The sequence below is a fragment of the Homo sapiens genome, chromosome 1, assembly GCF_000001405.40.
Source record: "Homo sapiens chromosome 1, GRCh38.p14 Primary Assembly".
Classification (NCBI taxonomy): domain Eukaryota; kingdom Metazoa; phylum Chordata; class Mammalia; order Primates; family Hominidae; genus Homo; species Homo sapiens.
Genome location: NC_000001.11, coordinates 44,044,285 through 44,070,385, shown reverse-complemented (window position 1 = coordinate 44,070,385; position 26,101 = coordinate 44,044,285). Strand labels below are relative to the sequence as shown.

Here is a 26,101-nt window from a genome sequence, read left to right as displayed (position 1 = left end):
GGAATGACAGACAATGGAAATTCGGAAGGGCGAGAGGGTGGAGGGGGGTGGATGATGAGAAATCACTTAATGGGTTCAATGTATGTTACTCCAGTGATGGATCCACCACAAGCCCTGACTTCACCACTATACAAAATATCAATGTAACAAAATTACACTTGTGCCCCATAAATGCATACAAATTTAAAAAATCACTTAAAAAATTAAAAAGGAGGTTTGGTAGAGGGAGATTTGGGGACTTTTTAAAATAATGGAGGCTTTATCATGTTTATAGGCTACAGACAAGAACTAATTGACTTAGAGACTAAAATGCAAGAAAGAAGGATGAATCAATAAAACCAGAGGGTCAAAGGTGGGGGGAATGCAGAGCACAGAAGGGACGGGCTGAGGGTGTGGCGTCCAGATTCCGCCCTCCCCTACCCATGGGCTACTGGAGGCAAAAGACACCCACCGAGCACAGCGGCCACAGAGACATGCATCGCCGACGCTGGGGCAGGAGCAGATGCTAAGGTTGGACAAGAGCAGGGAAAAGAGAAAGAGGAAGTTGGCACCTTTTGGATTGGAACATGGCATCCTGACCCAGAACACAGGGTACTTTCCCACCAAAGCAGCGAGGGTTAAAAAACAGACTCCGTCTTTCCCTCAGCATCCCCCAAAGTTAGGACTAGGGTGATATGGTGTAGGTGTTCATCCCCTCCAAATCTCAGTTGAAATGTGATCCCCAGTGTTGGAGGTGGGGCCTAGTGGGAGGTGTTTAGGTCCCGGAGGCGGATCCCTCATGAATGGCTTCGTGCTGTCCTTGCAATAATGAGTGATTTCTCGCTGAATTACTAGAGATCTGCTTGTTTAAAAGAGTGTGGCTCCTCCTGTCTTCTCTCTCTCTCTCTCTCTCTCTCTCTCTCTCTCTCTCTCTCTCGCCATGTAACACACTGGCTCCCCTCCGCCTTCCATGGCAGTTGTAAGCTCCCTGAGGCCTCCCCAGAAGCAGATGCTTCCTGACAGCCTGCAGAACCATAAGCCAAAATAAACCTCTTTTCTTTATTAGTTACCCAGCCTCAGGTATTTCTTCATAGCAAAGCAAGAACAGACTAACACATAAGGGGAGAAGGAAAGCCAGCTAGACTGGGGTGGACCCCTCTGGCCAAGGCCTCCTGCCCAGGAAAGCCCTCCTCCCATGCTGAACCCCCACCCCTATCCTGCCAGGGAGTGTCCTATCCATCTCCTGGTAGGATGTGAGGACTGGAAGACCCTGTCCTGAAATGTCTCCCACCCAGACCTGCCTCAGTTTGCAGACTTTTACCTCTCCACATGAGTGATCATTAAAATAAAATACACATTTCTGTGAGGGGAGGGGGTCAGGCCCTGACCCCTGAGAGGAGGCATGTGGCTGGGGGAGGGGAATAAATGCAGAAAGCAGAGGTAAGGATTCTAAGGCCACTCAGCTAGTGATGTCACCAGTGGTGACCCCAGAAATTCTATGTAAAAGGGCACAGGGTCACAATTGTGTTACAACAGGGGATGGGCCAGGGGACAAACTATTTTTACTCAGATTAGGCATTTTCTGCCTAGCTTGGGGGAGAATGAGGAAGTGTGTTGAGTGTCTAAACTCTCCACAAGCTTCCGTTTGGTGCCACTCTGGAGAAAACATAACCCCAGCCTGTGACCCTGGAGAATCATGCTAGCAGAGCAAGGGTTAAAGCTTCCTGTGAGGGCAGGGGCCAGCCCTCCTGTGAGGCCAGAATGTTCCAGTCCAGACTGAGGCAGGCAGCTTGGGAAAAACTGCCCACCACCTAATGAATCAGATAACACATTAGCTTGAGATCAAGGCCAAGGCCGAAGGGCAGGGGAAGGGAGGAGGCTGCTGACAGAGAAGCTTGGTTCTCTCTGCCCCAGTAACAGGGAGGTGGTGGGGGCTACATAGTAACTGGAGGGCCCTGCCCCAGGAGCTCTCCTGCTCACCCCACTCCTGGCTGGTATGTCCTCACCTCAGTGAGACTTTTCCCGTAAAGAGGGGCCTCAAGGTGAAGTGCTCAGGACCCAGAAACTGGAATGAGACGCTGATGAAAGGGGCTGGGCGCAGTGGCTCACACCTGTAATCCCAGCACTTTGAGAGGTGGGCATATCACTTGAGGTCAGGAGTTTGAGACAGCCTAAACAACATGGTGAGACCCCATCTCTGCCAAAAACGCAAAAATTACCCAGGCATGGTGACATGCACCTGTAATCCTAGCTACTCAGGAGGCTGAGGCAGGAGAATTGCTTGAACCCAGGGGGCGGAGATTATAGTGAGCCGAGATCACACCACTGCACTCCAGCCTGGGTGACAAAGCAAACTCTGTCTCAAAAAGAGAAAGAAAAAAAAAGTGCTGAGGAAAGGGCTTCTCCTGTCCTTCTCATGCCCAGATGGGGAAGAAAGGTCAGTGCTGCCTGAGGCTCAGAGAACCCAGGCTTGTGCTTCCAGGGTACACAGGAAACACAGACCCTCTCGGTTCTGCTCCTCCCAGCCTCTCCTGTCCTGCTCTGTCCCACCCCCACCTAATTCTGATCTGGCCCCAGGTTATCCCCACCCTTCCCCCATGAGGTCAGGGTGGCATTGGCTCACTGTTGGTGCTCTGCCCTGGTCAGTGCACCCTGCCCCAGTTGCTGTGACAGTGAGCTGCTCCTTCTCTAAATAATCACATATTCTCAACCAAATGCAGTCAACTCCTTCAGGAAGTTCTGCACCCTCTCTGGGGTACAAAGGGACATCCCACCAGCCTCAAACAGAAACAAATTCTGTGGTATAATTTATGCTCCAGTGCTCCCTGTGGGTCCAGGCTGAAGACAGTATCCACACACTTGCTTAGCTTTCTTCCTCTGTCCTATCCTGTTTCTCTCCCACCTCTTCTTCTGAGAGGACTCCTCTCATAAATCACTGGAACAAGAATATTCATGTCAGACTCTGTTCTCGGGAACCTGACCTAAGAGCCTTCCTTATGTCACTCATAACCAGTATCGCCCAAGATGCTACATCAACCACAATACATTGTCTCAAAATTCAGCTTTATCTAGTACCTAATACCTTGTGATACATCCCTTTCTGTTTAAACAGAGTATTGCAGATCCTGTTGTCTGCAAAGCCAAGAACTTTGATCAATAAAATGATTCACACCAGAAATGGTTGCAGCAACCATCACTCAAGGGAGTGGGAGTCTGACCTAGAAGGGGACTTCTTGACCCAGTTGAGTTTGAAGGCAATGAAGATTCTAATAGCGTTAGAGGATTAGACATTATATATTGTTTGTTTTTAAAAATAATATAATAAAAAATGAGCTCAACACTCATCCCAAGAGTTAAATGTTATCGATCACTTAGTTCTACCCATACCTCCTCCGAGAGGTAACCACTATTTGAGAACGTCATCTATATAGATGCCTAAATGAAATATTGTTTTGTTTTGCTTGTTTTTGATCTTTATAAAAAGAGTGCTCTTCAAGACTTGCTTTATTGCTCAAAATTATGTTACTAAGATTATCCATGTTGTGGCATGGATAGGAGTATCATTCATTTTTACTGCTGTGTCATATTCCATGTGTGAGTACACTACAGTCTATCCACTCTGTAGTCACCAGGCATTTGAATGGTTCTTTTATTTGTGCTCTTACATATAGCGCTACTGGCTACACTCCTGTCAGATGTCTTCTGATGTACCTGTGCAAGAATTTCTCCTGGGTATATATCCAAGAGTCGAATATCTGGGTATGTGATTGTTCAATAACACAAGATAATGACAAATTGTTTTTCCAGAGTGGATATTCAATTTATACACCAACCATTAATGTATAAGAGATCTCACTGACCAATATTCTCTTTAGAAAGTTGGCCAGGCATGGTGGCTCTTTCCTGAAATCCCAGCACTCTGGGAGGCTGAGGTGGGAGGATTGCTTGAGCCCAGGAGTTCAAGACCAGCCTAGGCAACATATCAAGACCCCATCTCTTAAAAAAAAAAAAAAAAAAGGAAAGTATTATCATACCCCTTAATTTTTTTGTTGTTTTTTTTGGGGGGAGGGTTTTTGTTTGTTTCTTTTGAGGAAAGGTCTCACTCTGTTGTCCAGGCTGGTGTACAGTGGTGCAATCATGGCTCACCGCAGCCTTGACCTCCCAGCTCAAGCAATCCTCCCACCTCAGTCTCCCAAGTAGCTGAGAACACAGGTTCATACCACTATGCCTAGCTATTTTTAAAAATTTTTTTGTAGAGACGGGGGTCTCACTGTATTGCCCAGGCTGGCCTGGAACTTCTAAGTTCAAGTGATTTTCCCACCTCGGTCTCCCAAAGTGCTGGGATTATAGGTGTGAGCCACAGTGCCCAGCCCATACTTCTTAGTTTTTGCCAATTGAATGGATGTAAATGATATCTTATTCTAGACTTAACTACATTTCCCTGATTATTAATAAAGTTGAGTATTTTCCATCCATTTATTGCCCATTCATGTTTCTTTTTCTGAAGGAAATTTGCTAATTTTTCTATTGAATTACTTCTATATTTCTTACTATTTTATAGGCATTATCTGCACATACTAGACACTGTTTGCTGATTATATATGTTATAAATATCTTCTTTGCTTGTGGCATGTATTTTTATTTCTTCTAATGTATAATAAATAAACAGAAGTAATACAGCTATTAAGGATTATTTTAGGCTGGGAGCAGTGGCTCATGCCTGTAATTACAGCAATTTGGGAGGCCAAGGCAGGGGATCACTTGAGACCACAAGTTCGAGACCAGCCTGGGCAACATGGTGAAACCCCGTCTCTACTAAAAATACAAAAATTAGCCTGGCGTGGTGGTGCTCAACTGTAATCCCGTCTACTCGGGAGGCTGAGGCATGAGAATCACTCGAATCTAGGAGGCAGAGGTTGCAATGAGCCTACATCACACCACTGCACTTCAGCCTGGGTGACAGATGGAGACTCTGGCTCAAAAAAAAAAAAAAAAAAAAAACCAAGGATTATTTTGATTCATATTATGAATACTATTATGCCGACAATTTTATGATATAATCACTAGTATTCTGGCTTGTATTACTTAAATTGTCATAAACATCTCTCTTTTTTTTTTTTAGATGGAGTCTCGCTCTGTCGCCCAGGCTGGAATGCAGTGGCATGATCTTGGCTCACTGCAACCTCTGCCTCCCAGGTTCAAGTGATTCTCCTGCCTCAGCTTCCCGAGTAGCTGAGATTACAGGCGTGCGCTACCACGCCCCGCTAATTTTTGGTATTTTTAGTAGAGACGGGGTTTCACCATGTTGGCCAGACTGCTCTCGAACTCCTGACCTCGTGATCCGCCCGCCTCAGCCTCCCAAAGTGCTGGGACTACAGGCGTGAGCCACCACGCCCAGCCTATAAACATCTCTTGACCTTAAAACAATATAAAGTTCTTCTAAAGATACCTAGTTAGCACACTTTCTCATTAAAATTGCATTAACTTCCAATCTATTTCCATATTTATTTGAAAGTTCTTATTGTTTTTGTGCACACGATTAGCAGCTTTCAAATAATCATTAATTATTATAACGTTTTACTCATGAAATATTAAATATACATGTATACCTCAAATGACTAATAGAATTTTGGCATATAAAGCAAAGGACATTTTCATGAACCTGTATCTTGAATGGTTACCTATATGTGAAGGTGAATATTCAGATATTAACAATAAATTCACGTAACATGGCTTGGTTCATTTACTGATATTGTTATGTTGATCAGATATGACAAAAATCAACACAGTCGTGATCATGGATCACACACAGGTTCAGGGATGTCACAAATGATACCAAAGAAGGTATTTGGCTATTTAACCTTGTAAGGGCTAGAGCCAAAGTCATAGTTGAATAGCAGATTTGAGCCAAATACTAAGTCCACAGCTAAGCTTTAGTGCATCCCTAATATGAAATTCTTCACAGTCTACATCATAAAATTATTTATATCTAGGCTTCTCTATGGATTTGCATAGAAAGTGTCTAGAATGATAACCGACAAATGTTGAAGATAATTGTTGGGGGTAGCTGCATTTGGGGCAGTTGAAAAAACTTTTTCAGTACTTTCTGTATTAATTATTATAATAAGCATATATCTTTTTATGAGAATTTAGTTAAGAATCTTTCCACAGTAACAATATCAATAATTACATATACATAACAATAAATTTTACTGGTTTTTCCCTTGTTGCCATGTTTAGCATATTATGCCTTCCTTGTTTCCCAGCTAACTTCTCACTTATTTTTTCATTTGGCTGAAGTGCTTCCTCTGGCAGTTAGTTTAGGGAGGGTACATAGGCAGTTGTGCTAGGTATTCTCCATGTGCCTCTTTTGGTCCACTTTCCACTCTGCTCTGGCCCCGCACTGCCCTGCTGACCCGTGGTCCTGCTAACCTTGTGAATTGCACTCAATCCTCCCGGCTTCCTAACAGCATTCAATCCAGAGTTGGCTCTGGCTTCCCTAATCCCTTCTCAGAGGCATCCAACACAAGCACAAACTCAAGTCTCCCTTACTAAGATGGTCCCAAGATTCATGCATTCTTCCTGCTGCAGCAAGCCAGATAAACTTAACTTTTATTAACTATAGGTATGGCCCTTACGGTCTTTTTGCTGATAGATTTTGACATACTATACAAACTCATTCTTTCTGAATCTATGGTTGAAGAAAATAAAATTGCCCATAAAAAGCAGAATGTTATTATTCTCAAGCTGTGTCTAAACCCCATAAGCAGAGTCAGAATATATCCAAGTGATTATTTTAAGAAAAGAAATCAGATGACAGCTGCCCAAATCTAATGATTAATGATTTCTGGAACAGCCCAACTGGAGAGTACTCCCAATATCATAGAAGAAGCAGCTTGCTTCTTTCCTTTCTTACAATACGCCTATGAAAAATGTCAAATATAAGAGAAACTTAGGCTGCATCTGACATAAAGATCTGACTTAGTAACAACACTTAATGATTGGCATCTATATGATTTTTTTCCATTTTATTGGGGTATAATTTAGACACAGTAATATGTACAAATCAACTTTAAATACATATACTGCCATGTACTCACAACCCAGATCAAGAGTAGAACAATTCCAACACTTCAGAGGACTCTTTCCTGTCCCCTGCAAGTTAATACCACTCCCTTGGTTAACCCAGTCTGGCCACTACCACTATAGGTTAGTTGCACCAGTTTTCAAACTTCATATAATTGCAATCATACAGTGTGTATTCTTTTGTATCTGACCTCTTTTTTTTCTTTCAATCAAAATTATGCAAGGTTCACCCATGTTGTTTTATTATCAGTACTTTGTTCTTTCTTATTGCCACGTAATATTCCACTGGATGAGTACAACACAATGTATCCACCCATTCTTCTGCTGATGCGCATTGGGTTGTTCCAGTGTAAGCTATCATGAATAAAGCTACTATGAACATTCTCGTACTTGTCTTCTGCTAGACAGAAGCACTCATTTCTGTTGAGGATATAGCCAGGAATAGAATTGTTGGTCACAGAGTGTATGCATGTTTAGCTTTAGTAAACACTGCCAAAGTTTTCCAAAGTGGCTGTATCAGTTTATGTTCTCACCAGCAATGTAAGAGGTTCCTCGTTTTTTCCCATCCTTGACATGGAGATACATGATTTTTTTTTTTTTTTTTTGAGACAGGTTCTTGCTCTGTCACTCAGGCTGGAGTACAGTGGCGTGATCATGGATCACTGCGGCCTCGAACTCCTGGCCTCCTCGTATCACCTCAGCCTCCTGAGTAGCTGGGACTATAGGCATGCACCACTACACGTGGCTTTTTTTTTTTAATTAATTAATTTATTTATTTTTGTAAAGATAGGGTCTTGTTTTGTTCCCCAGGCTGATCTGGAACTCCTGGCTCCAAACGATCCTCCCTCCTTGGCCTCCCAAAGTGTTGGGACTACAGCATGAGCCATGGCACTCAGCAATATGATTTTTAAAGGACTGAGAAATAATGCTCTGATTTTTAAATTTGAAGGGTTTGTGTAGACAGATATAGATATAGATACAGATATAGGCATAATATAAAATAAGAGATGCCTGACTACTTATATATTTGATCTTAATAAAATAATCTAAATTCTGTTTTAGAGTTAAAAATACATTCGATTACAATTTTGATCATTTCTCTTGGGGAAAGAAAGACTGACAACATCAAGTGCTTGGAAAGCATGTGGAACTTCTTGAGATAATGGGTGTTGGTGACACAGTGCAGGCAAATCCCAAATTGGGGCTTATCCCAGGAAGATTCTTGGCTTCACTCAGGAAAGAATTCAAGAGCAAGCCAGTGGTAGAAGAAAACAGCTTTACTGAGGTGGCAGTGTGGTGGTACACCTCTGTGACAGCTCCTGCAGAGCAGGGCTACCCCATGGGCAGTGTATACACAGTAGCAGCTCAGGGCAGTTCTGCAGTTATATTTATACCCTTTTTTTTGAGACAGAGTTTGCTCTGTCACCCAGGCTAGAGTGCTGTGGTGCGATCTCAGCTCACTGCAACCTCCGCCTCCCAGGTTCAAGTGATTCTCCTGCCTCAGCCTCCCAAGTAGCTGGGATTACAGGCACCTGCCACCACACCTGGCTAATTTTTGTATTTTTGGTAGCGATGGGATTTCACCACGTTGGCCAGGCTGGTCTCGAACTCCTTACCTCAAGTGATCCGCCCACCTGGAAATCCCAAAGCGCTGGAATTACAGGCATGAGCCACTGTGCCCAGCCTATACCCATTTTTAATTACATGCAAATTAAGGGGCAGATTATACAGAAATTTCTAGAAAAAAGGTGATAACTTTCAGGTTGTCAGGTCATTGCCAAGGAAAGAGGTGGTAACTTCAGGGCATTGCCATGGCAATGGTAAACTGACATGGCACTGGTGGGCATGTCTTAGGGAGAGGTGATTTTGCCTCTTCCCTGTTTCAGCTAGTCCTCAATCTGGTCCAGAGTCTGAGTCTCACCTCCAGAGTTGAGTCCTGCCTCCTACCTCATTCCCCCCTCAGAAATTAGATACTCCTCTTTAATCTTAAAGGGACTACAGAAGGTTGGAGGTCTACCTCCTGTAACTGTTTCCTGCTGAGTTTATGGATGTTGGTCCTGTCTAGCCCTGGAGAAACAGAAATCTCTGGATACCTGATCTGAGGGGCCCCGAGGCAGGACACTTTCATTCTCCAGGTCAGTAGGCGGGTCGAGTTGGAAGCCTTGTGCAAGGATTGTCTTTACCTGGAACTGTTGTAATATAGAAGACAAACTTTACTAAGAGGTTAAACAAGCAAGGGCCAAAGATTAGTAATAACAAGACAGCTATCAAAGGTCCTAGGAGAGGTAAAAGCCAGGTGAAGCTTGGGAAGGCACTTTTGATAGCTAGCCAGATACAGCTGGGATTAATGCCCTGATTATAGTTACGTAACCAGGTAGCTTGCTCACAGATCTTTTGAATGTTAACTTCAACTGCCCAGAGTTGTTGATGTATGTGCAACAGGTTTCATTAATAACTGCACAGACTCTACCTTGTTCAGCTAGTAGATAATCCAATGCTAGTCTGTTATTGAGAACTACATTTGCCAAAAAGTCTAGGGACTCTTGAATCCCCTTTAATGCCTGACCGCTATTGGTGGCTAAAGATTCTAGGGTTTGAGTCAAGTTCTTTAGGGTTCTTTAGGGTTCACATTCTTTAGGGTTCTTTAGGGTTGACTAGGGTTGAGTAGGTAAGCAAAGCCACCCTAGGGTGCTGCTAGTCCTATTGCTGCCCAAATTCCTTCCGATTGAATTAATCCAATTGCTCACTTACTTCTGGTGTTCCTGGGTCTTATGGGGTTACAGACCATGACCCCTGGAGGGGCAAGGGTGGCCAACATATGTTCATCTCTATTCCAAGTTTCATTCTTTTTTTGAGACAGAGTCTTACTCTGTCACCCAGGCTGGAGTGCAATGGCGTGATCTCAGCTCACTGCAACCTCTGCCTCCCAGGTTCAAGAGATTCACCTGCCTCAGCCTCCTGAGTAGCTGGGATTACAGGTACTCGCCACCACGCCCGGGTAATTTTTGTATTTTTAGTAGATGGGGTTTCACCATGTTGGCCAGGCTGGTCTCTAACTCCTGACCTCAAGTGATCCCCCTGGCTTGGCCTCCTAAAGTGCTGGGATTACAAGTGTGAGTCACCACACCCAGCCTATTCCAAGTTTTTTATATACAGAAGGCTGCTCCTAAAGGAACAGGTGGCTTCCTGGAGAGTCAGGAGTGGTTATGGGGTGTGACTTCTTCCCACTCATGGCCACAAACAAAATGAGCCTGGGGGGGTACACAAACAGAGGCCCTACGGGGTGTGATGTTTATCCTTGGCTGCCAAGTTGGGTCTCTAGAGGAGATATTTTCCCCCTGTTCTAATGGGAGTGGTCAAACAGTCTTGTTTTCCAGAAGGAACAGTGCTCCCACCTTCCCAGATTAGGCAGTTGTTTTTCCCTTGTATGTTCTGATCCAGGAGAAGGCACCATATATGGTCTCCTCACTGACAAGTGGAATCCCATTTACCTCATTGCAGCCTGGGAAACTTGGCAACTAGATTTGGATCAGAGTATCACAGGGAAACGTCTGCTTTTGTGTCATTAACACAACAGTGGATGCAAAAGATAGAATCATTAGTGCATTGGAGATATAGATACCCAACTTCCCAGCTCAAGGTAATAGTGGCAGGAGTTGGGGGGTGGTATTCAGATGGAATCGGAGGGGAATCAGGAGGAGAGTTTCACTTAACAAATAGGGATTTGGGTATTTGGGGATCACTATGGTTAGTTAGGAGGTCTGGAGAGATGGCTGTGAAATTTTCTGGGTAGGCCAGAAGGTAGAACTGTGCACCCTGGGAATATTGATGACAAATCCAGCAACCATGAAGATGATTCCCTGAGGCTATAATATTTGAAATATTTACGATAGGGTTATGTTCCCACCTGCACTGGATCAGGGTAATGAGGAAATCAAACAGGATTAATAGTGACAACATGGTGTCCAGTGGGCCTTAGAGTGGCCTCTATACCCAACAAGGACAAAAGAGGTGTTTCCCAAGAGGTTGGCTAAAGCAACAGAAAAGAAGGATTACAATCAGGAAGAAGAGAAAAATTACTGTTCCTATTCCCACCCACAGCATCACATTACCACCTCTGGCTGAGTGTTGATTCTTTTAAATAGGCAGCAGAGGTCCTCCAAAGGCTCACAGATGCAGGTCACAGGGGCCTCCTTTTGTGCTGCAACTCATAAGAAACAGGTTTAACCTGGACAGGGGTACCAAACTAGTTACTCCCTGAAGTTTAACAGCCGTAGGTGTACTCAACAACACCTGATACGGCCCCTTCCATTCATGTGTAATTGATCATTGGCGGATTCTTCTTTCCAAGTTTTTACTAAGACTAAGTCTCCTGGTTGATTGTGGAGGTTAACTATTTCCTTTGTTGAAGGGAGCGATATTTTGTTGAAGGGAGCCTCCAAAAGGCTTGGAGGGCCTTTTGAACCCAGCCTAAGTTGATAATATGGGTGAGCATTCTACGTGTCTCTTCATCAAACAGGAGATCTGAAGTTAAAAAGGGCCTCCCTGGAGCTTGCAGTGAGCCGAGACAGCGCCACTGCACTCCAGCCTGTGACTGAGCGAGACTCCGTCTCGGGAAAAAAAAAAAAAAAAAAAAAAAAAAAAAAAAAAAAAGGGCCTCCCATAAGTCATTTCAAATGGACTGTTTTACTGTTCCTTTGGAGTCATCCTTACATATAAAAGGGCGATGGGAGGCTGGGCACGGTGGCTCACGCCTGTAATCCCAGCACTTTGAGAGGCCAAGGTGGGTGGATCACAAGGTTAGGAGTTCGAGACCAGCCTGACCAACATGGTGAAAGCCCATCTCTACTAAAAATACAAAAATTAGCCGGGCTTGGTGATGCCTGCCTGTAGTCCCAGCTACTCGGGAGCCTGAGGCAGGAGAATCGCTTGAACCTGGGAGGTGGAGGTTTCAGTGAGCCGAGATCGTGCCACTGCACGATCAGCTTGGGCAACACAGCAAGACTCCGTCTCAAAAACAAAAACAAAAACAAAAAAAAGGCGATGGTGAGGAGAGAAACCCAGGCCTCTGAGGTCTCCTAACAGAGCTCTGCTAATGTCCTTTCAAAAACATTAGCTTTTTCTACCTTCCCCAAGGATTGAGGTCTCCAGGAGGGGTGAAGATGATACGTAATGCCTAAGGCTCAGGACGCCTGCTGGGTCACTTTAGCTGTAGGAGGGTCCATTATCACTCTGCTGACTTTTAGGTAATCCAAATCTTGGGATGATCTCTTTAAGTAGGAATTGGCACTTCTAATGCGTTTTCTGTTCTTGTGGTGAAATCCTCTATCCACTCGGTGAAAGTGTCTATAAATACTAGCAAATATTTCAGTCCCCTGTATGGTGGCATCTGAGTAAAATCTATTTGCCAGTCTTCCCCATGGTATGTTCCTTGATGTTGTACAGGAGTGAGTAGGGATGAGGGTATGGGCAGCTCCCTGGGTCATTACCGGCATAAAGTTCATGGGCCCTGGTGACCCACTTTACAGTCTGGAATAATTTCTTTCCCAGGAAGATTTGAGAAACTAATTTGAATAGGGAGTCCTGTCCCAAATGTAAGGAGTCATGGGAATACTTAATTATTTTCCATTGCTCAGCCTCAGGGAGAAAGAGTTTGTTGTTTTCTAGCAACCATCCTGAGGGATCCTTTTGTAAGCTTTTCTATTCTGCCCATTTAATTTCCTCAGAGATATAGTATGGTGCTGCTGACACAGGTGGAGTAGCTGGCATAAATGCAGTGAATGGGAATACTGGTGTTTCCTTAGCTGTGGCTTTAGCTGCTCTGTCTGGTGGAGCACTTCCTCAAATAAGGGAGGTGTATCCCTTTTGGTGTCCCCTGCAGTGACTAACTGCTACCTCCTTTTCCCAAAGGAAAAGGACAGCATCTAAAAGTTCCAGGATCTCTGAGTGATGTTGTATGGGGGATCCCTTAGCTGTTAACGTTCTCCTTTCTTTTCATGTGGCAGCATAAGCATGGAGCACCAGGAACCCATATTTGGAATTAGTAAGTATATTGACTGTTAAGTCTTTTCCCAATTGGAGGGCCCTAATTAAAGCAATTAATTCCAGTTTTTGAATGGAAGTCTAGGGAGGCAAAGCTTTTGTCTCAATGATCTCTTGTTGGCTAGCCACTGTATAACCTGTCTTCCTTACCCCTCATGCATAAAGCTACTCCCATCTGTAAACCACCAAACACCAGGGTTAGGCAGGGGCTCATCTTTGAGATCAGGCCTGCTAGAGTAGGTCTGTTCTATGGTTTCCACGCAGGAATGAATGAGTTGGGGATCTGTTTCTTGGGACATGAAGCCCATCAACAGGGTAGCAGGGTTTAAAACTTGATATACTTTAAAAGTAACAGCTGGATGTCAAGCAGAAGGGCCTGATATTTAAGTAAGTGACCTCCTGTTAGCCATTGGTGTCCTTTTGTCTCTAAGATTCCCTATACTTGGTGGTGGGTCATGACATCTAATTGTTGTCCCAAGGTAAACTTACTGGCTTCTTCTACCAATAGAGCAGTGGTGGCCACAGCTTGCAAGCATCCTGGCCATGTGGCTGCCACCTGGTCTAGCTGTTAGAAAAGTAAGCCACTGGCCTGGGACTATTCCCGGGCCTTTGAGTTAGGATGCCCAAAGCCATCCCTTGTTTTTCAGCCACATAAAGGGTGAAAGTTTTTTTCTAAATTAGGGAGTCCCAAAGCAGGAGCTGTTCCCAGCTTTTCTTTTAGTGTTAAGAATGCCTGTTAGCAGGTTCCATCCCAATTCAAAGGCTCATGATCACTCCCCTTTAGAGCTTCACGGAGTGGCTTGCTCTAAGCTCAAACCCAGGAATCCAGATCAGGATTCCCAAAAAGGCTATTACTTGCTTCTTAGTCTGAGGGACTGGAGTGCCAGGATGGTCTCTTTTTGCTTTTGGGCAAAAGTCCTTGTTCCAGGAGTGAGCACATACCCCCAATATTTAGCCTTTTGCACAGAGATCTGGGCCTTGCTGGGGGAAACCCACTATCCTCGCTTTCCCAGAAAATTAAGGAGCTGGATTGTGTTCCTGTCCGTCTTCCCTAGTGAGGCTGGAGAGTAATAGGTCATCTCCATATTGCAAGAGGGATCCATTAGTTAACTGTAGTTCCCTTAACTCCTTGGCTAATGCATTGCAGAAGAGATGGAGACTGTCTCTAAAACCTTGAGGGAAGGACTGTCCAGGTAAGCTGAGATGCGGCATGAGAGTCTAGATCAGTCCATTTAAAAGCAAAAATGTACTGAGAGTCTGGGTATAAAGTTATATAAAAGAAAGCATCCTTACTATGAACCAATGAGCATCTTCAGAGACATGGGTAAATATTCGTAAGGATTGCGAACTATTGGGTGGACTGGGACTACTATCTCATTAACTGCCCTCTGATCCTGAACAAATCTATATTCTCCATTTGGCTTCTTTACAGGTAAAATAAGGGTGTTACATGGGGACTGGCACAGGATTGTAGGAATCCAGACTTTAGGAACTTTGTTATTAGGGGCTGGATATTCTTCTGAGCCTTGGGTCTCAAAGGATATTGTGTCTTCCACATGTAATTAACATTGGGTTTTAAAATAACCTGGAATGGGGGTACACTAACAGCTCTAGCAGGAACTTCCATGACCCAAACAGAGGGGTCTACCTGAGAAGCAATATGTGGCGGGAAGAGCATCTCCTTATCTGTGTTGAGGTAAGCACTTAGAGCTAGAAGTGTCCATTCCCAGCCTGTTGCCTTCTTATGAGGCACTTGAAATTGAACTGTGGCCTGTAACTGGGAAAGTAATTCTCTCCCCAGTAGAGGGATAGGACACTTAGGCATAAGTAAAAACCCGTGGGAAAATGTATGGTCTTCCAGGGTGCAACCAAGGGGGTGGATAAATCTCCTAATTTTTGGCTGGCCATCAATCCCTGTTACTGTACAAGAGCAGGAAGACAGAGGCCCTGAGAAATGGGTTACAACTGAGTAGGCTGCTCCCATGTCCATTAAGAACCCAGTATTTTTGCCTGCCGTGTCCAGGGTTACCAAAGACTCCTCTATGGAGATGGTAAGGTGTCCAGTAGGAGTTGTAGAGGACCGCAGGCCCCATCAGTCCTATGCTTTCTTGGCCATTATGGATCTGGGTGTCTCAGACTCCCCTTTAAGCCTGGGACAGTCCTTCTTCCAGTAGCCTTCTTGTTTACAGAAGGCACACTGGGCCAGGCATGGTGGCTTATACCTGTAATCCCAGCACTTTGGGAGGCTGAGGCGGGTGGATCACGAGGTCAGGAGATCAAGACCATCCTGGCTAACACAGTGAAACCCTGTCTCTACTAAAAATACAAAAAATTAGCCAGGTGTGGTGGCACACACCTGTAGTCCCAGCTACTTGGGAGGCTGAGGCAGGAGAATTGCTTGAACCCAGGAGGCAGAGGTTGCAGTAAGCCAAGATCAGGCCACTGCATTCCAGCCTGGGTGACAGAGTAAGACTCCGTCTCAAAAAAAAAAAAAAAAAAGCTGGGCACGGTGGCTCACGCTTGTAATCCCAGCACTCTGGGAGGCCAAGGCGGGTGGATCATGAGGTCAGGAGACTGAGACCATCCTGGCTAACACGGTGAAACCCCGTCTCTATTAAAAATACAAAAAAATTAGCCGGTCATGGTGGTGAGCGCCTGTAGTCCCAGCTACTTGGGAGGCTGCGGCAGGAGAATGGCATGAACCCGGGAGGTGGAGCTTGCAGTGAGCTGAGATCACACCACTGCACTCCAGCCCGGGCGACAGAGCAAGACTCTGTCTCAAAAAAAAAAAAAAAAAAAAGGCACACTGATTTGATTTTTGCCTAGAGTCCAGCAAGTGGTGGGACTCTCATCTAAGCATCCCAGACACTGATCTTCCCATATTTTCCTGGGGTGGGTAACCCTGAAGCAGCAGAGGGCCTAAAGCAGCCACTAACAATTGTGATTTTTTGGCCAACTTTTTGGCTTTTGCCTCTTCCTCTGCCTTGTCCCTGTTGTTGTAAACCCTAAAAGCAACGTCTAAGGGTTGGCTCATGGGGGCCCCATTGCTACCTTTTGTAGCTTCCTCCTGATGTCAGGGGCAGATTGAGTGATAAAATGCACACCCAGGAGAACCCACCCTTCTGGGGAGTCTGGGTCTGCATTAGCATATTTCCTGAGTGCCCCAAGAAAACGGCCCTGAAATAGAGCAGGGTTTTCATCTTTGTCCTGAGTTATTTCTCTCACCTTGTCATAACTGACTGGCTTAAGCACACACTTTTTCATGTTAAACAAATTAGCCTGTGATTTCTGCATTTAAGATCTTGAGAACCTGTCTAGTAATCCAATTGAGAGCCTAGATCTGGAATTGCATCTCCTCCCACACGATATGGCATGGCCTGGGTTGGGTGGCTACTCCATCTGCATGTTCACGGACAGTATCTAGAATTCTTTGTTTTTCCTCTACAGTACAACAAGTGGATAGTAATATTTGCATGTCATGCCAAGTTAAATCAAAGAATACGCTCAACTTAACAAACTCCTCTGTAAACTTCCCAGGATCCTCTAAAACACAACCAAATTTTTCCTTGCATAAAGCCAAATCAAACATGAAAAAGGCACATATCTTGTGGTTGTTCCTCCATGCCTGTCAGCTACCTCTCACAATGGACACAGGTCTAATTTTGGCAGCTGATATGGGGCCCAACTCCTGGTAGTACTGGTTGGGTTTACTTCCTCCGGCAGTAGGGGATATGGGCCAGGACCTGTTGGATAAAGGGGAGGGATGCCTGCTGACTTTGAGGTGGAATTCTGCACTAGAGAAGTGGTGTCCTCCCCCCCCAGAACTAGGGGACTGGAGAGGCTTCAAAGTGGGGACACAGGCCTCATGGGGGAACAGCTAAGAGAAGGTCATCTACAATACCTGATGTGCTTCTGGGTGGCTGGGAGTATCATAAGCCAGACATGTTCTACAGCTAGCCCTTAAGATCCTGGTAGATGGCCAGAAAAGCCTGCACATAAGGGACTTCTTCCCATTTTCCTTCCTTTTTACAAAACAAATTCTAATTGTACAATATCATTATAACATAAAGAATCATGAGGCCGGGTGCAGTGGCTCACATCTGTAATCCTAGCACTTTGAGAGGCCAAGGCAGGCAGATCACTTGAGGTTAGGAGTTCGAGACCAGCCTGGCCAACATGGTGAAACCCCATCTCTACTAAAAATACAAAAAATTAGTTGGTCATGGTAGCCTGCGCCTGTAATCCCAGCTACTTGGGAGGCTGAGGCAGGAGAATCGCTTGAACCAGGAGGCAGAGGTTGTGGCAAGTCGAGATCTTGCCGCTGCACTCCAGCCTGTGCAACAGAGTAAGACTGTCTCAAAAAAAAAAAAAAAAATCCTGCCTAGGCCACATCTGTTGGCTTGCCAATTTATATAGAACCTAAACATTGTTGCAACAGAAAATAAATTTTTTCTTTTTCAATTTGTCTAATTTGAATTTACTCCAATTGCCTAAAAGACACCCTCACGTCAAGTCCTTCAGGATGCTCTCTGCTGCCCCATGTCTAGTAAGGCTCTCTATGGGGGTTTTAGTGACCTAAGCTTAGCAAATGCCTAGTTACTTTTCCCTTTTAAATTCCCACTTTGTACAAAGAAGGTGTAAATATAGACAGCAAGGTGTTATAAAAGTGGATTATAAGCTGCAAATGGGAAACAGAATGTTGGCCTAAATTCCACAGAGAGTGAGGGTTAGGCAGAGAGAGACTAAACAAATGGTGACAGTGGAAGGGAAGAAGGGCAGGGGTAAATAGCATTGCCCAAGGGGAGACCTCAGGGGCCCTCACTGCCAGAGAACCTACCCAGTAGGAGAGACACCAAAAACAACGTTCAGGTGGCCACTTTTCTACTGCTGTTGGTGGCTGTCCATCAGGGGCCTGGGAACTCCCAGTCCCCTTCAACCAAGAGGGCTTAAGCAAGACAGTTATGCAGTTGTAAGACAGCACACAGGAAGAGGTCTGCAACTGGCTATTAGGAAAATAATAACTTCTAACTTCAGAGCAGAAAAAGGCAAGACCAAGATTCCCCTAGGGGAGAAATAGCTTTTTCTACCTTACCTGAGGATTGAGGTCTCCAAGAGTGAAGATGACAGGTAATGCCTAAGGCTCAGGAAGCCTGCTGGGTCACTTTAGCTGTGAAGGAGGTTCTGTTATCACTGAGCAGACTTCTAGGTAACCCAAACCTTGCAATGATCTCTTTAAGTAAGAATTTGGACACTTCTAATGCCTTTTTCTGTTCCTGTGGGGAAAGCCTCTATCCACTCAATGAAAGAGGGAATGTCAATGCCGAAAACCCCAGAGCATTTTCAGCAATACCAATGCTGAAAAACCTGGAGTACCTGAGTTTCAGCCAACAAGGGTCCCCTCACCAAATGCTGAAAACCCCAGGGCACCAGGGGGTTGGCCAACAGCAAACCTCAGGCCAAGTTGGAGGTCACAGAACAACACAACAGGAGGCCTTGCATGGCCAAGTGTCCTGCCTTAAATCATTCCCCAAATTTAGTCAACAGAAAATCAAAATGAAAACAAAGACTGCCAACAAAACATACATCTTAGGACTGAAAATAAAACGACTGGTGGAGCAATACAATGGAGTCAGAGGGGAAACAATCAGGGAAAAGGGTGACAAGGACAAGGAAGTGTTTAAGGGTATCCAAATGATGAGGGACTTTTAACTGACCTCTTAGCCAAAGGCTTTAATTCCTGAGCTTACCTGATGTTATTGGGGTGGGGGTGGGCAAAACACTCACCCATCCACAGGAGTCAAAATGGTGCTGGCCAATCTTCCACGTGGCACCCAGGTGAAGGTCTCTTCAGGATCCCCCAGCTTGGATGTGCTCAGCTGCCATGGTGGGAGGGTCCCACGTGAGGACTGATAACCCACCAGCCTGCCGGATCCTACATGAGGCAGTAGCAGTATGGCCACTTACTTGCCTGTCTGCTTGGCTGTACCACCTGCCAGGGAAAACGATGATTCTAAAAAGAGCCTTTGGTTAGTGTTACAACTCTTGCAGCCTCCATCACTGACTGCTTCTCTATTTCTTGCCATCTCTCCATTTGTCATCTTAACAATAACTGTCACTTGCCATCTCTTGCTGTCTCTCACTGTCTTGCCAACTGCTGTCTCTCATTACCACCTTGCCAACTGGCCATTTCTTTCTCCGTCTCTCATGCTGTCGTTTTCTCTCTTCTGCCGCATGTTTGGTGCCATGTTGCTGCAAGGCAGGTGAACCCCAAATTGGGGCTTAGCCCAAGAAGATTCTTGGTTTTGCTCGGGAAAGAATTGAAGAGTGAGCTGGTGGTAGAAGAAAACAGGATTTTTTTTTTTAAGACGGAGTCTCGCTCTGTCGCCCAGGCTGGGGTGTAATGGTGCGATCTCAGCTCACTGCAACCTCCGCCTCCCAGGTTCAAGCAATCCTCATGCCTCAGCCTGCTGAGTAGCTGGGATTACAGGTGCACACCACCACGCCTGGCTAATTTTTGTATTTTTAGTAGAGACAGAGTTTCACCATATTAGCCAGGCTGGTCTCAAACTCCTGACCTCAAGTGATCTGCCCACCTTGGCTTCCCAAAGTGGTGGGATTATAGGTGTGAGCCACTGTGGCCGGCCAAGAAAACAGCTTTATTGAGGAGGCAGTGTAGTGTTAGGGATCTGTGACTGCTCCTGCACAGCAGGGCTACCCCATAGGCAGTGTGTAGAGAGTAGCAGCTCAGGGCAGCTCGGCAGTCATGTTTATGCCCACTTTTAAGTACATGCAAATTAGGGGTGGATTATGCAAAAATTTCTAGAACAAGGGTGGTAACTTCCCAGTTGTTGGGTCACTGCCATAGAAAGGGGTGGTATCCAGTTGTTGCCATGGCAATAGTAAACTGACATGGCACTGGTCAGCATGTCTTTTGGAGAGGTGCTTTTGCCTCTTCCCCTTTCAGCTAGTCTCAATCTGGTCCGGAGTCCAAGTCCTGCCTCCTACCTCATTGGCAGTGGTGTGCTGGTAATTATTTTACAACTGGTTAAGAAAGAAACTCTGATTTGTAAAAGTTGCCAATTTCTGTGGTGTAAATAACTTTTATCATTGCTGAACTCACACATTGCTGGTGGCAGCATAAATTGGTAAAACCACTTTATAAAACCATGCGATGCTATCTACTAAAGGTGAAGATATGCATATGCCAGGAGACAGTAACTGTACTCCAAGATGTACAGTATTTCTCAACTTAACCGGACATCCTGAATCACCCCAGGCATGAATCCAATTCTGTTGGGAGAGTTACTGGCTATGCATTCTTTTCCTACTTAAGTCACCTTAGTCTACTCCAAAAGATACACATTATTTGAAACTGAAAAGCTAAAATGGATAAATTATTATATATTCATGCAATGGAATAGTATACCACAATGGAAATGAACATGCTACTATACATAACAGCACAGATAAACCTTATAGATTGAAAACAATACATAGGCCGGGTACGGCGGCTCACGCTGGTAATTCCAACCCTTTGGGAGGCCAAGGTGGGTGGATTTTCTGAGTCCAGGAGTTAAAGACCAGCCTGGACCACCTGGTGAAACCCCATCCCTACAAACAATACAAAAATTAGCCAGGCATGGTGGCACATGCCTGTAGTCCCAGCTATTCAGGAGGCTGAGCTCAGAGGATTGCTTGACCCTGGGAAGCAGAGGTTGCAGTGAACTGAGATCGTGCTACTGCACTCCAGCCTGGGTGACAGAGTGAGACCTTCTCTCAAAAAGAAAAGAATATATACTGTATAATTCTAACTATATGAAATTCAAAAACAGGCAAAACTCTATGTGGTTAGAAGTTAAGCTAGTGGTCACCTTGGGGAGGGCAGAGGGCTGGGATTGGGAGGTAGCACAAGAGAGGCATCTTTACTGGATGGTTATTATTATGAACTAAATGTTGTGTGCCCCCCAAATTCATGCACTGAGTCCCTAATCCCAAATGTGGTGGGATTAGGAGACGGGGTCGTTGGGAAGAAATTAGGTTTAGATGCGGTGATGAGGGTAGGGTCCTCATGATGGGATTAGTGCCCTTATAAGAAGAGACCAGAGAGCTTGCTCATGCTCTCTCTACACTGTGAAGACACAGTGAGAAGGCAGTCATCTACAAGCCAGGAAGAGAGCCCTCACCAGAACCCAACCCCGCCAGCACCTTGATCTTGGACTTCCCAGGCTCCAGAATTGTGAGAAATAAATGTCTGTTGTTTAAGCCACCCAGTCTGTGGCATTTTGCTATAGCAGCCCCAGCAGACTAAGACAGTTATGTTTACACAAATGTGTTCAAGTTGTGGTGACGCATTAAGCTATATGCTTATGATTAATGCATTTTTCTGCACGAATGATTTACTCCAATAAAAAGCTTATTAAACCCAATGCACTGTGTACACACATAAAAACAAAGAAAACTAATCATTATCAAACTAAATCAACTTTGCAACACCTCTAATTTGTAGATAAATCTTACTGTGTTCAAAAATTAAGCAAATTACACTGTGGCCAGTCAAACACACAGAAAATTTCACCAAGAGAAACTTAGGTTAATAATAAAACAATTTATTTATGTACTTAGGAGATCCCATCCAAACATAAAGAATATTTTCTAAAGCCCCAAATATTCATTTGTAACCAACTAGCTTAAAACCCAGTCATATCAAAGAAAGTCTCCAGCTCAAAACACAAAAAGAGTGCAGTACCTTCTCCAAAGAAGAAAAACACACATTTTAAGACAAAAATACTCACCATTAAGCAGAAACCTCTGACTCATCTGTTCTTATCTTCCTTCCCATAAAGCCCTTTTATTTCCCCACTCTGACAAAAGCGTCCTTTTAGCTCACTGTGGGGAGGAAGTCTCACAGTCTTCGGTCTGCTCTGAGTGAATGAAGGGGATCAGTGGAATCAGTATTTCCCAGCTTAACTGGACATCCTGAATCACCCCAGGCACGAATCCAGTTCTGTTGGGAGAGTTACTGGCTATGCGTTCTTTTCCTACTTAAGTCACCTTAGTCTACTCCAAAAGAATCGGAAAGTTCCTACCTCCAAGCTTTGGTTTTCTCACATTTTTTCATCTCTCTGGGCCATTGCCATTAGCTACTCCCACATTTTGCCTCTGTAACCGTTTCCTTGACTTCTGCATGGTGAAGTTAGGAGAAGCTACACAGCCCCCAACACATACGTGCGTGCACGTGCACACACACACACACACACACACACACACACACACACATACACACACAATGTTCTCTTATGGGCCCACTCTCCAAACACTCTGGATGCCAATCTTCCCTTTTCTGGATTCAGCCCACCTTTATTGGCCACATCCAGTAAATAATACTATGTAAATTCACAAAGTGTCCACTAGAGGACACTACAATCCTACTTCTAATGCCAATGTGTTGCAGTATGGCGTCTGTAGACTCCTAAGGGATTCTTCCTCTTCCCTATCTAAGCTACCCATGTGTTTCTATCTAATTATTCCTTGTACCAGGCACCTAAGAAGGAAATAGGTGATATGAACAAGGAAGGAAGTAGCACCCCGACTCGTGCCCTCATTCTCAAATCCTTGGTCCCAGGGCAGGATGCTCTCACGATCTAAGCATTCTTTCCCTCAAGATGGATGTGACTGATGGCAGATGGGCTACTAGTGATGTTGATGTCACTGTGCCGGGTCCCCAGCAATGCTCCAGGGGAAGCCAAGAGTTGAACTGGGCCTCAGATCATCAACCAAACCTCAAGCATTTATCAACCATGGCAGCCCCATCTCATGACCAGGCTGGAGCCTGTCTGGACCTGGTTCTTCTGGTTCCCACCATCTGTCCTCCTCCTCCCTCCCTACCACACCACCCTTTACCCCAGGACCAGTGCTTACGGTTCTCTCTCCTCAAAGTCATCAGATCAAAATTCATGACCAACCTCTCATTAGCCCACTCAGAGGAATGGGTGGCTCAATGCTATGAGTACAATTGCTCCATCTTAGGAAAACAAAAATGGGCAACCCTTTGCAAAGAAAACATTTCTATGACCAAAGCTTACTGACTAATACAACATTACTTCTTCTTGTACATTTTAAAATAAAAACAAGCATATCTAAACATAATATTTTCTAATCACAGGAGGCAACAACAACAAAGTAAGCATAAATACTTTCAAGGACATGTCTGTAGCCTAGTACAGAGAATGCTTTTTTTTTTTTTTTTTTTTTTGAGACTGAGTCTTGCTCTGTTGTCTAGGCTGGAGTGCAGTGGCACGATCTCGCTCGGCTCACTGCAGCCTCCGCCTCCCTGGTTCAAGCGATTCTCCTGCCTCAGCCTCCTGAGTAGCTGGGATTACAGGTGCACACCATCACACCTAGCTAATTTTTGTATTTTTAGTAGAGACCAGGTTTCACCATATTGCCCAGGCTGGTCTTGAACTCCTGACCTCAAGTGATGCAGCTGCCTCTCGGCCTCCCAATGTGCTGGGATTACAGGCGTGAGCCACTGTACCCAGCTAAGAATGCATATTTTTAAGCCAGACTGCCTCAGATCAGATTCTAGATTTGCTATTTACTAGCCACATGGACTTGAACCAGTTACTTAACCTCTGCACATCCATTTCCTGAGCTGTTAAAATGAAGAACATATAGTATCTACTTCATAGGATTGTTGTGAAGATTAGATGAGTGTGTGTGTGTGTGTGTGTGTGTGTGTGAGTGTGTGTGTAGTGCTTAGGTTGGGCGTGGCAGACCATGCCTGTAATTGCAGTACTTTGGGAGGCCAAGGAAGAGGACTGCTTGAGCCCAGGAGTTCACGACTAGCCTAGGCAACTCCAGCAGACCCCGTCTCTACAAATAAAATTTTAAAAAATTAGCCAGGCGTAGTGGCATGCACCTGTAGTCCCAGCTACTTGCAAGGCTGAGGCAGGAGAATCACTTGAGTCCAGGAGGTCAAGGCTGCAGTGAGCCGTGATTGCCCCCACAACACTCCAGCCTGGGGGACAGAATAATGAGACTCTGTCTCAAAAAAAAAAAAAAAGTGCTTAGAACTGGCCTGGTACTAGTAAGTACCCAATGAATGTATGATAGCTATTATTATTATTATTATTATTATTATTATTATTATCCTTTACCAAATCTTGTGGATGAATTCTTCATACACAGGCTGACATCTGTTTTATTTTTCTTATGTTCCATGATAAGCTCATCCTAAATAGAATATTAAGAAATATTAAGAAAACGTCTACATACACCAAGACTGGGTGACAATGATTGTGTTAGGAGGGTCTGGAGGGCACAGATCTGACACACTACCTAGTGACAACATTGAGTTATGTGCAGCTTAGTTATGTGTGATATGTGTGATTCTGTGTTGCTGATGGTGGTGTCTAGAGAACATTGGATGCAAATGACTGTGGGAGGGACACATTCTGGATGAAAATGGGCTCAGGGCTAAACTGGGGTCAAATAGTTTGGGGATAACACTGGGTTGTGTGTGAAAGTATGTTGAGAAAGCATTTGAGTGAAATAGTGTTGTGGGTAAGACCAGGCCTGGATAAAACAAAGTTTTTGTGACAATGGTGTTGGGCAGTGGGTGCTGGCAACTGTTTAACTATTGCCTCTTCAAGAAAAACAAGACATTGATTTGCAACGTTTCCAAATTCCAGGGTGTAAATAGTCCCATCATGGTGATGTCAAGCCCCAAACATGATGTCATGATGAGCCACCTAAGAAGGTTCAAAGAAAAAGGAGAAGAGAGTCTGGAATTGAGTTTTGAACACTCCAACATTTCCAGGCTTGGCAGAAGAGAAGTCAGCAAAGGAGACAGAAGGTGCTGCCAGAGGAGGAAGAGGAGAATCAGCAGAGTGTGCTGTCCAAAGTGCCAGGGAAGAGGGTTTCAGGCGGAGGAGGAAGTGTCAAGAAAGTTGAACGTTTCTGAGAGATTGGTAGATTAGCTCCCAGGGCAGTCCCGCAGCACGAGGTCACCTGTAATCCTCCCGGATCAGACACGGTGCCAACCCAGGTGCACCCACAACCCTTGCATGGCAGCATCTGTCATCCTGGTCACTCAACTGCCTTCTGTCCTTCTGGTAAGAACATCCCGCCCCTGTGGAAAACAGCCTGTCCTTCCTCCAGGCAGGTGGCTCCAATCTCAATCATGGCACCTCGAGAAACTACGGGTGATCATGGCCAAGCTCAGCCAAGGCAGAGCCATTCTTCAGGATTTATAAGTGCAGTGCTCCACCGAAACAGGGAAACACTGCTCTCTTTTCCTCTGATACCATTAAACTGACATGACATCAGACTGAAGTGGCCTTTGGCAATGGAAAAAGCCTGTCTGAAGTAGAAGCCGAAATGAGAAAGGAAAACCTGGATGTGTCCCTCCATCTGGGTCTACTCTTGTTTTCTCCAGCTCTGAACCAATAAACAGCACTGGCATTTTGAACACTTTACAAGTATCGGCTCAGTATTCCCAACAACCTTAGATGGGTATTACCCAGGTACCCCATGTTAGAGATGAGGAAATTTGCCCATGGCTGCAGAGTGCAAGAGCTGAGATTTCACCCTAGGTAGTTGGCTTCAGAGTCCACAGTTCATTAGGCCAGATGGTTCTTTCTTCTTGGGGAGTTTCCAGTGCATTGCGGGATAGTGAACAGCATCCCTGACCTCTGCCCCCCTAGATGCTGTTGGCACCCCTGTCTTCAGGTGTTACAAGTAAAAATGCCTCCAGACACAGCCACACATTCCAGGGTGGGTGGACAGCCACTGCTACTGTTCTGCTGCCTTCCGGTTCTTTTCGAATTGCTGTCACTGAGTCACCCAGATGACTCTGCATTTGCCACAGTTCAGGCTCACCTAATCTGTGTGTCAACTACAAATAACCCCATGTCCCTCAAACCCTGAGTCACCCCCAATACATTGCCACCTGGACCCTGTGTTATCGAAAACCCCACGCCAGCTACAAATCTGT

General features: G+C 45.0%; 1 protein-coding gene and 1 long non-coding RNA gene across 4 annotated transcripts in view, besides 3 other annotated features; one reads left to right on the top strand and one right to left on the bottom strand.

The window, feature by feature from the left end:
• LOC124904169 (uncharacterized) overlaps window positions 1-25,583 on the top strand; it is a 30,287-nt gene extending 4,704 nt beyond the window's left edge. The window contains exons 2-3 of the long non-coding RNA XR_007066056.1: window positions 3,651-3,738; window positions 24,798-25,583. This is a non-coding gene — a long non-coding RNA (uncharacterized LOC124904169). The remainder of the gene's footprint in view (window positions 1-3,650; window positions 3,739-24,797) is intronic.
• Window positions 1-26,101, bottom strand: part of KLF17 (KLF transcription factor 17) — a 91,214-nt gene that overhangs the window by 64,755 nt on the left and 358 nt on the right. Inside the window, exons 2-4 of one of the 3 annotated variants that reach the window (XM_011540700.2) lie at window positions 24,264-24,339; window positions 21,900-22,028; window positions 18,892-19,436 (exon numbers count right to left, since the gene is read on the bottom strand). The gene's annotated coding sequence lies outside the window, so the exon portion shown is untranslated. Of the gene's footprint in view, window positions 1-18,854; window positions 19,437-21,899; window positions 22,039-24,263; window positions 24,340-26,101 lie in introns of those variants that run through there. The other 2 variants (XM_047445936.1, XM_047445938.1) reach the window with 2 other exon arrangements.
• Window positions 2,342-2,431: an enhancer, noted in NCBI's record as "active region_933". NCBI's record gives its function as "activates an Ori minimal core promoter by ATAC-STARR-seq in GM12878 lymphoblastoid cells {active_cell/tissue: GM12878}" and the evidence as "EXISTENCE:reporter gene assay evidence [ECO:0000049][PMID:35858748]".
• Window positions 2,652-2,701: an enhancer, noted in NCBI's record as "active region_932". NCBI's record gives its function as "activates an Ori minimal core promoter by ATAC-STARR-seq in GM12878 lymphoblastoid cells {active_cell/tissue: GM12878}" and the evidence as "EXISTENCE:reporter gene assay evidence [ECO:0000049][PMID:35858748]".
• Window positions 2,902-2,981: an enhancer, noted in NCBI's record as "active region_931". NCBI's record gives its function as "activates an Ori minimal core promoter by ATAC-STARR-seq in GM12878 lymphoblastoid cells {active_cell/tissue: GM12878}" and the evidence as "EXISTENCE:reporter gene assay evidence [ECO:0000049][PMID:35858748]".